This window comes from Homo sapiens, chromosome 15 (assembly GCF_000001405.40).
Source record: "Homo sapiens chromosome 15, GRCh38.p14 Primary Assembly".
NCBI lineage: Eukaryota > Metazoa > Chordata > Mammalia > Primates > Hominidae > Homo > Homo sapiens.
The window spans coordinates 92,433,888-92,447,875 of NC_000015.10; the positions used below are offsets into that span (position 1 = coordinate 92,433,888).

The 13,988-nt window shown below is 49.2% G+C and overlaps 1 protein-coding gene across 3 annotated transcripts in view; it reads left to right on the forward strand.

The window, feature by feature from the left end:
• The window catches only part of ST8SIA2 (ST8 alpha-N-acetyl-neuraminide alpha-2,8-sialyltransferase 2), a 74,848-nt gene that overhangs the window by 40,007 nt on the left and 20,853 nt on the right, over positions 1-13,988 (forward strand). For all 3 annotated transcript variants that reach the window (NM_006011.4, NM_001330416.2, XM_017022642.2), the window contains 3 exons: positions 360-488; positions 4,466-4,723; positions 10,749-11,042. In NM_006011.4, coding sequence (NP_006002.1) covers positions 360-488; positions 4,466-4,723; positions 10,749-11,042 — 681 coding nt within the window. The remainder of the gene's footprint in view (positions 1-359; positions 489-4,465; positions 4,724-10,748; positions 11,043-13,988) is intronic.

Consider the following 13,988-nt stretch of genomic DNA (forward strand, 5'->3'; position numbering starts at 1 on the left):
TGCTCATATACCTGCTCCTTGTAGAGTTTCTTATCAATAGCTTGAATAAGAAATATTACTCTTCTGACAGTGACTGCCAGGTTTTACCAGGAAAAAAAAAATCACTAGGGGCAGGGGAAGAAGAATAAGTTTATCACCCTCCTTCCTGTCTCCAACAATGTATGTAGGTTATACCTTAGGGACAGAGTTTCTGCATTACTGGAAGATAAATAGACTTCCTTCTCTTCTCAGGTAATAACTGCAATTTTGCTCTTCTGGAGAAGTTTACATTCAAGCCCGTGCAAAAACAAAACTATTAGACTTGTCGTCGGCTTGCTAACACATCATGTCTACCCTCTTTCTTTTTTTTTCCCTTCCAGAGCTGAAGTTGTAATAAACGGCTCCTCATCACCAGCTGTTGTTGACAGAAGTAATGAAAGCATCAAGCACAACATCCAGCCAGCCTCGTCCAAATGGAGACATAACCAGACGCTCTCTCTGAGGATCAGGTACTGGTAATTACCTACAGGACAAGAGGTAGACTTGGTCTTGAGCATACACGGGCAAATTGCTTCTCTTCGTCATCTAAAGAAGTCAGGATAGAAATAAAATGTTTACCTCCCACTGAGGCAGGTTTCATCTGTAAGTGATCAATCGGAAATAAAAACCCGAGACAAGCCTAGCGGCCCAGCCTGTGTATGTGGCGACTGGGGCCAGGCGGTGGCAGGAACACCCGCTGAGGTTCTGGGCTTAGAAGCAGCAAACCTTGAGTCTCGGGTCAGCAGCAGAGGGAATCTGGGCAGTGGAGGCCACAGGTGGCTGCTTCTTCCCAGGCATAAAGAGTCCTTACTTGTTGGGGTCTGCCTGGGAGTCACATCCCCTTTCAGTGACAGTCCTCCAGTTTGTTCCTGGAGAGCTGCTCCCTCTCTCAGCCCTTGGGCTTGTATAGGCTGCTCCTCCCTAACAACGTGAAAATGAAAACCTAGAGCCATAGGGGCATCCGGAGAACCCAGGAACTGACATGACACCCGACCAGAAAGCAGAGGTCTGTTTAGCCAGAGAGCAGCTCTCGTCCTGATCTGTGCAGAGTGATGTTTTCAGAGCACTGCAGCCATCATCGGGTAGTGGCAATGGGGAACCGTAGAGAAGGAATTACAACTTCGGCATTTTGGACACTTAGCTTAGATATAGCCATGATTGACCCAGCAAATATTTGTAAGTATAATCCAACTATTCAGTTCCAGGCATCGTGCTGGGGCCCCAGGAGTGCTAGCATGAATCAGACATGCTAGCTGGGGACATGAATATAAGCAAAGACAAGACAGCGTGGTATGACATACACATGAGGTGGTGCTGCATCTTACACATAGATGGAAATAAACAGGCCATACTGAGCAAAGAGTCATTCATTTTGTAAGAGGACTAAGAAGACTGGCCAGGAAAGGCTGGCCAGGAGCAGTGGGTTTTGAAGGATAATTAGGAGTTCACCAAGCTGCTTCCCACATGCACAGAGTCTGTGATCTGGTGCTTGTGGACAGTGCTGCAGGAGCAGGAAGCAGGAGGCAAGGAATAGGGGGGTAAGGTTGGGACGATAGGCAGGACCAGACGGGGAATGATTGATGACCATCCCAGGCCATACCATGGGGAGAGAGGAGAGCAGCCATCAGCAATGTCACCACGCAGAGCAGGGAGTTGCCCCCTCCACAAGGCTCACTGTCAAAATGGAAATGCCTCTGCACCCTAGTTCTTGAAGCTTAGTTTTGGGACCTGTGCAGGGCTGGGGAATTGAAAGGCATGAGCTCTGGGGACCTAGCAGCTGAGAAACCATCTGAAGTAGCTGACTCCCTGCCACCCTGCACTCCTTACTTACCGCCTCTTCAGAGGCCTCCTGGTGGCCCTCCATCCCCCTCACGAAGCCCTAACAACCGCCCCCTTTGATCAGGGACACCGTGGAGTCAGCAACCCCAACTGCATTAGCTCCCTAGGGCTGCTGTAACAAATTACCAACAACGCGGCGGCGGCCTAAAACAACAGAAATGTATTCTTGCACCGCTCTGGATGCCACAATTCTGAGCACCCCCTTGCAGGCTCCAAGGGAGAACCCATCCTCTCACCGCTTCCAGCCTCTGGTGGCCGCAGAACTCCAACCCCTGCCTCCATCTTCACGTGGCCCTCTCCTCTGTGCTTCTATCTTCTTCTCTTCTGTCTCCTATAAGGACACCTGTCATTGTATTTAAGGCCCACCCGGGTAATCCAGGATCTAATCTCCAGATCCTTAAGTTAATTACATCCGCAAAGATGTTCTTTTGACATGTGGTCACATTCACAGGTTCCAGGGGTTAGGAGGTGGGCATATATTTTAGAGGGGGTCACCATTCTCCCCACTACACCACCGTGAATGAAATCCTCCTGCCAGTATGAGCTACCCATGGTCCCCAATGTCCCTTTCTCCAACCATTGGATAGAGAAATAGCTCCCCCACCCCTTGTGAAGACGAGACTGTGTCCTTCATAAAGACCCTGCAAACACAGTCCCTTCAGCAGCAACAATGTACCTTTACCCAGAGGGAAAAAGAATTTCCTCCAGCTTCAATTAATCACCAAGATTATTCATAATAAAAGATTCTGCAAGTGATTTGGAATGATGTTTAATAATTGATGGTAATTTCTCCTAATTAGTTAGAAATTAATTCACTCACAGAGGTGTTTATTTATGGGCTTTCTAGGGGCTCTCTTTGTTTTTAAATGCTTTGGGGTAAGTAATTGCAAAGGTTTCAGCAATTTCCCAACTATATTAGTTTGTCAAGTCATATAATCCTTGGTAAAGCACAGTAAATAAAAACAGTGCCTCTGTTTTCCATCAACAGATACGAATTATTCTACAAGGGTGGTTTCCCCTACATGATAGCAAGAGAGGCAGGTCATCAATAAGGAAAGACAATGGATGAGACGCGCCGAGCTTACCAAGTGTTCTAGCTGCCCCCTGGCTGCCCCGGAGGCTCTTGAACCTGGACACACATTAAAGTCACCCGGGGAGCTTTTGAGAGCAATGCTGAGAACTGGGCCACTCTCAGAATCAAGATTTCTCACATGTCAGCCTGGAAATTTGAAATACTTAAAGGTTCCCCAAGTGACTGAATGTGCAGCCTACTGGAACGTACCATAGGTTGTGAACATCTCAAATCCAGCAGGCTTTCAGGCCTCAGTGTTACTATCTGCGAGATGGGACAGCCATCCTGCAGCGTCTAACATTTGCAAAGTGCATGAAAATTCTGCACCTCCAGGACTCTGAAAACAAAGAACAGCATCTTTGTATCTGTTCTAGATAGGAATTTGCAGCAGAATATGAAATTAATTTCAGCTTATCTAGGTACTCAATTCCTTTCTCTTTATGACTGGAATCATTTCTTAAAATCTCAGGTGATTTAAACAGTTCTTTAAGTAAAACGCCCAGCTAGGATTTTCAGGTTCCTTGGCAGAAGGCTGTGTGTTTCAGGTAAAGCTTTTCTGGCAAGGCTAAGAGGACACCCATCCCTTTCCTGACCCCACTCCATCCTTTCTTTGTGCTTTGCTAGATGATTCGATTCGAGAACTTTCTCTAAATCAAAGCTACCCCAGAGCCTAGAGAGCTGTGCTTCGTTCTGAAACAATGCAAAGGAGCCCTTCTCCGTGGAACTGGGAGGGGTCCATGTTTACAATCCCCCCATAAACACTAGAGAGCAACTAGAGGGGGCAGCAAGGGGACGTGCACCAGCTTGCAGGATGGCAGGCCATCCTCTCGGTGTCTCAAAGGCAGAAAGTGTCCATACACGTCACAGTATCCATCCCCCCAGAAAGCCCCTTTGCAATGTGCCCAGAGAAACCTTCCGTGGAAGAAAATGGGCCGGTAAGGAGTGAGAGGCGCCTGTCATCTGGCTTTCTGCTCCTAGACAAATTTATTATCCTTTTTTCAAAATCTAGGAAGTGTGGGAGTAGCAGAGAAACTTAGATTTTATACCTAGCCATTCATTTTCATCCCCGTCAGAGGATGGCCCTAAATCCCCCTAAGACAGTGAGGGTAATGTAAGCTCACCAAATGTCTGGGTGTGCCCCAGACTGTGGGGCTTTCAGGGACATGGGGCTTTCAGTGCCCGAGCCAGGCAGTCCTGGGGAAACTGGGGTGGTGGGCCACCCTTCCTTCTGGGGCCCGCTGTGAGGAGCTCACTCCAGCCCTAATGGAGTGATTCCACAGGGCAGTTTTCACCTAGCAAAGGAAGAGGGTGTAACCCTGGCAACCCCCATATTGGCCACCACCGTAGTTGCTTCTGGGCCACTTCTGGCCATCCCTGGCTGGAACCTGTTCTCGAGGGCATCTGAACTCTCATCATACTCTGCGTGTTTGCTGGGCTGCAGCCACCGTGCAGGGCGACCCTGGATAGGAAAAGCTGGGCTGGCAAAGGGCAGCTGGCACCCTGGAGAATTTCCTCACGCATGTTTGGTTTTCACAGGAAGCAGATTTTAAAGTTCTTGGATGCTGAAAAGGACATTTCTGTCCTAAAGGGAACCCTGAAGCCTGGAGATATTATTCATTACATCTTCGATCGAGACAGCACCATGAATGTGTCCCAGAACCTCTACGAGCTCCTCCCCAGGACTTCGCCACTGAAGAATAAGCACTTTGGGACTTGTGCCATCGTGGGCAACTCGGGGGTCTTGCTGAACAGCGGCTGTGGGCAGGAGATTGACGCCCACAGCTTCGTCATCAGGTAACATGCCCCAGCAGGCACTCTGGGGCCAGAGCGGCGGGCAGGCTGTGTTTCAGTGGAGCATTGCCAGCTGTCCCAAGAGATTGAAACAAGAGGCCCTGGTGGAGTTAGCCCCTGCTCTCAACCATGACTGCTCATCAGAATCACTTGGGGAGCTTCGCCTCCAATGTCCAGAATGTACCTCAAACCAATTAAATCAATGGAGGAGAGGGGAAGAGAGGCGTGGCAGGGGTGCGGGCAACCCAGGGAGCCCAGGTCATTCTGATTTACAGCCAAGGTTGAGAATCACTGATCCACAGCAAAGATGGGCAGATGCTGGCCTGCAGCCTAAAGTTTGGTTGGAACACAGCCATGCCACCCGTTTTCATATCATTGATGGCTGTTGTCTCACTACAAGGAGAGTGGAGTCACTGGGCACGGTTAAATCATTGGGTGAAATTGCAGAGTCAGAACAGAGAGATCATATCACCTGCAAAGCCAAAAATGTCATTATCTGGCGCTTTATAGAAAAAGTTTGCTGATCCCCTGAGGTAGAGCCTGGTACAAAAGGTTGGTAAGAAAATCTCCTGGGCTGGCCAGTTGTTGGTTCAAGTTTGCAAAACTCTTTGTAAGTGTCTTGGGAGGGGGTGCCCTACTAGTGACTTTATTACCCTGTTCTCAAAATCTGGGAAGTGCGGGAGTAACAGAGAAACTTGAATTTTGTACCTGACTATAATTTTCTCTAAAATATCAGCTCTCATTTTCCAGTTGCCTGGGACATTTGCACACAAGGTTGCCCATGGCCCTGCCACCTGACCCCCAACCCACTACAGTCATGGAAACAAGGCTTTGCTGTCTCCAGGTCAAAATTAGGGCACGCGGAGCCTCGAGTTTCATTCCAGCCGGCTCCCCAGCCCTGGCAGAACCGCAAACGTTCTCATATTTCTGTGGGGACCAACTCGAGGCAAAGACAGCCTTGTCCTGGGGCTTTGGGAAGCCGCCCTATTGTAGAGTTCCCTAAACCTTGGGACATGGGAAGAAACCGTGTCTTTACTCTTGCATCCTCTGGGATTGAAACGCTACCACAGCCTGGCAGCCAGAGTTTTGTCATCCTCTGCCAGGTCTGTCTGGGCCTGGCATATCCAACAGCTCAGTCCCTGTTTTTCAAAGCCCTTTAGCCTAAAGACTGGTGGAGGGAGGGTGAGGGGAGGGGAAAGGAAGAAGGAAGAGTGGCTGGTCTGTCTGCTTGGAAGCCAGAGAAGGAGTGACGGGTGGGTGTTAAAGGTGAGTGTGTGGGGGCCAAGGCCTCCTCCCAAGGGGTCGGATCCTCTCCAGGAGTGCCCAGCAGTATCCGGGGGAGGCGGGGGGGTGGCTGTCTGACCTAAAGCCACACATGTAAGCCATGCCTCTTCCATTGTCACAAGTCATGAGTCCCCACAGTGAGCTTTACACATCCCATGAAGTCCTGACCCAGGAATTTTGAGAGGCAGATTTTGGCCACAGTTTCCTTTTGGGACCCTTTCACATAGTCAGCAGCGCACAGTCCAAAGCTGTGCCTTGGCTCTGCTACCCATTTGTCACATGACTTGGAGTGTATCTCTCTGCCTTTCTGGGCCTCAGTTTTATCATCTGTAAAACGGGCTGGGTGGACTGGCTGGCCTTGAGGTTCTTTCATTATGAATACAGTCTGTACTCCAGCCCAGTGCTTCTCAGACTTTACCATGGACAGGAGTCACCTGGGCCTATTGACATGCAGAGTTTTGGGGTCTAGGGTACAGCCGGCAACTCAGCATTTCTAACAAGCACCCCAGGGGACGCCACTGCTGGTGTGTGACTGCACGTGGACAGGTGCAGCCGGGGTGTGCTCTGCCTCACTCCTGGGAGTCACGTCCACACCCATCCACACATACTTGGAAAATATGGGTCAAAAATGCCAAGGAGCAAGTTACTTCAAAAAGTGCAGTTGTTCTTTGTCCCTTAGGCCTATGTCCATGGCTCTGAAACTCCCACGTGTCTCTGGGGTGGACCTGTGGGGTGTTTTAGGACAAGATTATGCAGCCCCACTGGGTACAGACTTACGTTTGACATCAGGGATACGATACCCAGCAGTGGCACTAGCTCCTCCACCCCACTGGGACTATTCCTCTGGGTTCTTCCCATCTAGGAGTTTATTCCGTGCCCTGCACTTGGTAATATCCTACAGGCCAAAGCCCCACACTAACAGTAAAGAGAGCATGATGTTGCAAGCATTAAATGAGACGGCATATGTGAATACGCCTGGGATGGTTTCTCCCACACAACAGGGACACTAAGTGTTAATTCCCCATGGACTCTGTCTCCACTCCACCCACCTCACCCCCAGGTGGTGAGCTCCTCCAGAGCAGAGTGGCTGTGTCCATCTCTGGGCCTCCCGTACAAGGCTGTGCCAGGCCAGAGGAGGGCCTCCATGTGGCTTTACTAGAATGGCAGACGCTGTGAAGCTCCTGATGGAGGTTTCTGTCTCTGCCAATCCAAGTCTTCAATCCATTCACCCTACCTCCTCTGTGGGAGAAACACAAAGACACGCAAGACCTCACCCCCTCTCAGAAAACTCTGTGTGGGGAACACAAGCTTGTAAGTCCTGGTGGGACACATGGCACGCAAAATGCAACTATCTTGCAAAACCTAGTGCCTCCTAGGGAGTCCAGGGCAGGCTTCCGGCAGAAGCGGCATTGGAGTGTGGCTTGCCTTTGACCAGTAAAAGTGGTGAGGAGGAGGAAACAGCATGAAGAGGGGTGTGGAAGCAAGAAGGCAGATGCATGGATCCGGCAGGGCACTGCTCGAGCAAGCGTCAGCTGCACAAAGTGCTGCTGGGAATGTCTGAGGGGCTGGGCCCAGGAGAGCCCCACGATCCTGCAGTGCCAGGCTGAGGACACTGTGTCTATCTGGGATCGTGTGTGCAGAGTATAAGTTCCCAGATGTTTGGGGAACAGAACTTCACTGTGCATGCACACACACACACACACACACACACACACACACACACACACACGCACTTCTTCCATAGGGAGAATCTGATGAACAAATGCCCTTCCATGGATAAACCACATCATCATCACTGTTATCCCTTACCATTTTTTGGCCACTTTGAACGTACCAGGTGCTATTCTATGTACTTCATGTTTATTAACTTATTTAATTATCACAGCTATTCTGTATGGAGCACTCTGTTTTTATCCTGGCTTTGCAGTGAGGAAATTGAGGCAGAGAGAGGCAAATGCCACACAGCTAGTGAGGGCTGGAGCCAGGCAGTGGACCAGGTAGTTGGCCTCCAGAGCCTGCCCAAGCTGCCTCTCTCACCCTGCAGAGTACTCTTCAATGTGTACCTGTAGGTGTGGTGGTTTCTGGAAGGGAGTGACTCCTCTCCTGCCCGGAGCCAAGCCCATTCAGAAGTCACTTTGGGAGGCCTGGCCTACTGTTGGACAAAAGAGAGCCTAGATCAGATTGAACCCCTTCCTAACGCCTCCTTCTCAACTAAATGAAGCAATTCACATCTGGTGGGGAAGGAAGACATCTAGACAGTCCACTTAGGGCAGAGCTCCCCCAACCCAGCATCCTCACTGAGGCACAGTCATTGGAAAAGCTTGGACTTCACAGCCCATCCCTGCCTGCCTCTTCTTGTGTCTCTGCAGGTAAGGTATGGAGCCCTTACTGTGAGCCGAGTCCTATACTGAATGAGGGCTGGGGCCTGCCTGCAAGGAGCTCACAGCCCCTGTTCCCATTACCCACAGCATCTTCCAGGAGGTGGCATCCCAGACTGGCCAACATTGCAGTTGGGAGTATATTTCCTGCTTCACCCCTCGTGAGCCGCCAGGGTCAGGTGCCACATCCCCTTCATTCTCCTTGCCTCTTTCACAGCCCCTCCTGCCCCATGGTTGATCCCAATCCATCTGAACTGCATGGAGTCCACTTGGCCCTGCTCTCAGGACCCAGAGCTTGGCCTAGAATTGGCCCCAGGACCCTCAGGAAGGCCTTGGAAGCCTGGCTCAGCCGGGTTTCAAGGCAATAAAAGTAACTGAGACCTGAGCAGCCCCACACTGGCTGATGTGCTGCAGTGACACCTCAGTCTCTGAGGCCTGTGGCAAGGGCTCCTGAAGGTGAATTGACCCAGGGCAATCCTATCTGCTTACAATGTTTAGCCACAGTCAAAGATAGCAAGGCCTAGGGGCAGGGATGGGAAGACGCGATATTTTAGGGGGTTCAGTCTGAAATCACAAACAGGCTCTTTGAGTCAAATATACCTGATCTTGACTCCTGGTGGTTCCCTTTCTAGCTCTGGGCCTTTGAGCAAGTTGATTCTCACACACTGGGCCTCCATTTCCTCCTGTGTGACAGGAGGGTGATTAAAACTGGGTCACAAAAAAAAAGAGCTGACCTATGTTAAAGGACCAGTCAGTGCCTGGCACACACCAGGGGCTCAAAAAATATTAGTTTTCTTTCTGATTAACCCACTTTTTCTCCCCAGTTGTTGAAAAAGGAAAGTCCTTGCTTAAAGGGAGGATAAATGGTACGTTCCTGGATTTCTTCGTTTGATGATGACCTGTGATCCCTTGTCTTCATGTCTCCAGCCTCTATTTTTACACTCTTAACTGGATTTCTCAGACTTATTTTCACTGGTCAAAGGGCTTTTCCACCATTAAATCCTCTGTGCCAGACAGCAGCCAGACCTCCCCTGCAGTGCCCTCTGCTGCCATCCCAGTCCTAGGCACAGGCAGGAAACCCAGGTGTGCACACCCAGGCCGGGTCTCCCACAAGGAAGTCATCAGGTTAAATAGCAGAGGCTGCTCACCCAGGCAGCCTGATTGTCAGCATGAGTTTGCAGTGGCCTCTTAGTTTGCCCTCCAGTACCCAAATCCATCCCCTCCAATCCATACTGCAACTTCATCTCATTGCTTTCTAATCGTGGCCAAAAATTCTAAACCGTCCCTGTCACTCTCCTGCTCCAGAACCCTCAGTGGCTCCCTATTGCCCCCAGAACCAAGTCCCTGGCACACAGGTCCTTTGATATCTCACTCTGCTTGCCTCCCCAAGCCCATCTCCTCCACACAATATGCTCCAGTCGGACCAGATCACTTGCCTTTCCCTAAACACCCATGCTGTTTCTCACCTCTCTGCCCTTGGATGCCTTTCTTGTGCCTACAGTGCTCTAGCATGGTATTCCTAACCTGCTTGGCTATAACACTACCTGAAGAGAAAGAGCTTGTGAAAAATAGGTATCGATGCTTAGGCTCACCTGCTGAATCAGAATCTCCAGCCGAGGAACCCGGGAATCTATATTTTTAACGAGCGCCTGGGGTGATTCTTCTGACTTGGCAAACTGGAGAAGCACTCTTTTCGTGTACCTTGTCCACTAACAGACTTCTGCTTAGTGGTCACCACCTCAGGGAAGTCCACCTGACACTCCTCCTTCCCATAAGAGCGATGACAACAGTTAGCATTTATCAAGCTCTTATTATATCCAGTAGTGTTCTAAGTACTGGGCATATAGCAATTCTTTTAATCCTTGGGAGGGATGCTGTTGTGATCTCTATCAAAGCTAAAGTAATGGAAGGTCTCAGGAAGCACAGAGAGGTTGAGCAAGTTTCCCAGACTCACACAGGTAGAAAGTGTCCAAGCCAGTTTAGAGCCTGGGAGTCTGCCTTCAGATCCCTCACTCTGTCACCTAATGGGCCAGATCACTCTTGGCAACAGCATCATCATCTTGTGGACTGAGGACTGGCTTACTTGCTTCTTTCCTCCTCTCCTAGATCCTGAACTCCAGAAGACAGGCATTTACATCCACAGGGTCTAGCAAAGTTCTAGGTACACGATATGAGCTCAGTAAACCTTTGTGGCAGAAAAAGGAGGAGAAAGGATGATGGGAGGGGCCTGTGAGTGTGGAGAGATGCCCTGGGTCTTTGTTTGGGGATGAGAAAGAAGCAAGGAGAGGCAAAGGATGGGATCGAGTTAAACAGAGGAAGGGGTCTCAGCTTTCCCAAAAGGATCATGTTGCCTTTTTCTCCGGCAGGTGCAACCTGGCCCCAGTACAGGAGTATGCCCGGGATGTGGGGCTCAAGACAGACCTGGTAACCATGAACCCCTCGGTCATCCAGCGGGCCTTTGAGGACTTGGTCAATGCCACGTGGCGGGAGAAGCTGCTGCAACGGCTGCACAGCCTCAATGGCAGCATCCTGTGGATCCCTGCCTTCATGGCCCGGGGCGGCAAGGAGCGTGTTGAGTGGGTCAACGAGCTTATCCTGAAGCACCACGTCAACGTGCGCACTGCATACCCCTCGCTGCGCCTGCTGCACGCCGTTCGCGGGTGAGCGGCCTCCCTACAGGCCAGTAGGACCGTCACTAAGTGTGGGAGATTCTTGGTAGGCAGTATCCCTTTCCCAGGTGCATTTCCATCCCAGCTCCACCACTCATTTGCTGGATGGCCTCAGCAAGTCACCTGGCCTTTCTGAGCCTCCATTCCTTGAGAGATGAGGGGGTTTGGCAAGTGGGTTTCATCTGGCATGCCAATTTTGACCAATGGGTAGTGCCTGCCTAGGGAACTGAGTTGAGAATGATCTTGGGGGTGGGGCTGTCTTGAGGCTCAATGGGAACAGACGCCATGAACATGGGAGGAGAGATGGCGGCTGGCAAGTCACATACCATCCCAGGTGTGTGATTTTCAAGAAAATCAGGATCAGATGCACTTGACTTCAAGTAATTCACCTTAATCTCTTTAAACTTTAGTTGCCTCTTCAGGGAAATATGAGTGGGAATGGTAACATTGGAGGATGTGAAGACTAAATGAGATAATGTACGTGAAATGCGTAGTAAAATTGCGGTAGAAACATTTAATGTTATCATCAATCATCGCTATCTTTATGTCTCAGTGCAATATTCTCTAACTCTACAGAGCACATCTTACTGATTGGGCTGAGATCTTCAAAGGAGCGTCTCTTAGGATATGTTTTTGTCCACAAGGTCTTCTCTCTAAGATGGAGGGGAACTTTACCTAGGCAATATGAAAGAGATAGGGAGAGTTAAAGCAATGGAATCCACTCTCTTTAAGAAGAGTTTTGATGTAACTAATTAGGTAAGGATTTTCCTGGTTAGGCCTGGATCTCTAATTCCAGGAAAGAGATTCCAAGAATTAAGGAAAACAAATAGGAAATGTTGAGGAGGGTCTGAACTATTCCTATCAAGAAGTCCATGTCAACCTGGATGGCATTCTTAAACAGCCCCAGCCAAACAAGTAGTAGTTCCCAATCTCCTCCTTGTTTCCTCCCATTCATGTGACCTGGCATAGATCTCCCTGGCACTTGGATCAGTAAATTGGCTAGGAATTTACTAGTGCCCATGATAGCAGCCACAAGAAAAATAGTTTAATATTAATCATTCATTCACTCTCTTCCAGTTATCTATTGCAGTAAAAATCATCTCATAACTTAGTGGCTTAAAAAAACAACAACATCCATTTTATATTGTTTACAATTTCTGTTGGCTAAGAATCTGAGAAGGGCTCACCTGGATGGTTCTTAGGTCAGGTGCAGTCAGACTGGCTAGAAGTAAAACAGTGGGGGGCTGAAGCAGCTGGGGTTGACCATGCGTCTCTCTCTCTTTATGTTATATTAGGGTTTCTCCAAATGATCTCTCCGCATGGGCTAGATTGGGCTTCCTCACAGCATAGTAGCCTTAGAGTGGTCAGACGTGTACATGGTGGCCCAGGCTCTAGCACAAGTGGCCCAGAGACCAAGGCAGAAGCTGCATCACATTTTTAGACCACATAGTGTCACTTCTATTATCATCTACTAGTCACCTAGTCATTAAATTAGCTTAGAATCAAGGGGAGTAGACATAGATCCTGCCTCTCAATGGGAAAGTGCCAATTTGTGTACATGTTTTAAAACTTACACACATTCATTCTGCATATATTTATTGAGTGCTTACTATGCGCTAGGCTCTGTTCTATACACTAAGACACAGTAGTGAATAAAATAAAGATCTCAGATCTCATTAACAATTAAGTTTTCTTATAGGGAAAGATAAATTACAGGTAAACAAATAAATAAGATACTTTTAAATGGTGCTATCAGGAAACTCTTCTCTAGAAAGAAGTTGGTTTGAGCTAAGTCTCAAGGGACAAAACAGCACCAGCCATGTGCAGATCTGGGGTAGGAACCTTCCAGGTGGAGGGAACCTTAAGTGCAAAGGCCTTGAGGTAGGAGGGTGTGTTCAAGGTTCAACCAAGAGACAAATGTGGTTGAAACAGAGTGAGCAAGGAGAAAGGGGAAGGAGATGATGTTGGTGAGAGAGGCAGGTGCCAGAATGCACATATGTTTGTGGGCCATGGTAAAGAGTTTGGGTTTGATTCTAAGTTTGAGGGGCAGTGAAGGAGGTGAGGGAGAAGACCTGAGTTGTGTCTTTAAAAGATCCCTCCAGCAAGAATGAAAGCTGGAATATTTGTTGGGAAGCTGCTGCAATAGCTCTGGCAGGAAATAATGATGGCTTAGGCTAGGATTATGGCATGGGATATCTAAGAGTTGGTCAGATTTGCTATAAAATTTTGAGGTAAAGGCAGCAGGATTTGCCGGTGGATTCTATTTAAGGACCATAATGGGGGAGAGAAAGAGAAAAATCCAGGATGACTCTTAGAATTAGAGTTTGAGCAAACAAGCCCAAGCAAACAAGCACAATGTGGCAGTGCCATAGTCTGTGATAGCAGAGCTTAGAGAAGCCCATGCATGTTTGGGGGCATTGTGGAAGGGAGTTCTTTCTTGAGCATACGAAGTGTGAGATGCCTGTTACAAATGTATATCCTACCACACTCCTGACCTCCCAGCTTGGGGTCAGGCCCTATACCCAATTGCCCATCCAACCACATGGCAGATCACCAGGGATGTGAGGGAGCCCAGTGTACAGACTCCCCACTGACTGAGGGGCATCAGGATGCTCTTCACTGGGGACTTAGCATAACTCAGTGTGACCCTGGGAAGCCCTCTGAGCCACCCACAAAGGATTCTTGTCCTCATGGTGACTGTGGTCACCCAAGCCTGTGACCAACACTGGTCTCATTAAGATGGGTATCAACAGGGAAAACCCATTGCCCCCAAGAAAGCCCGAGAGAGACATTCGATAAGGAGCAGCCACATGTGTGTCTGATGGAGCCAGAATGATCCCCATATGGACACGGGGCTCAATGGGGCTACATACTTTATCCTAGAGGTTGGTCTCTCAGGACCATGTTTTCACTTCATCCCTGTCAGAGTAGGTCTGC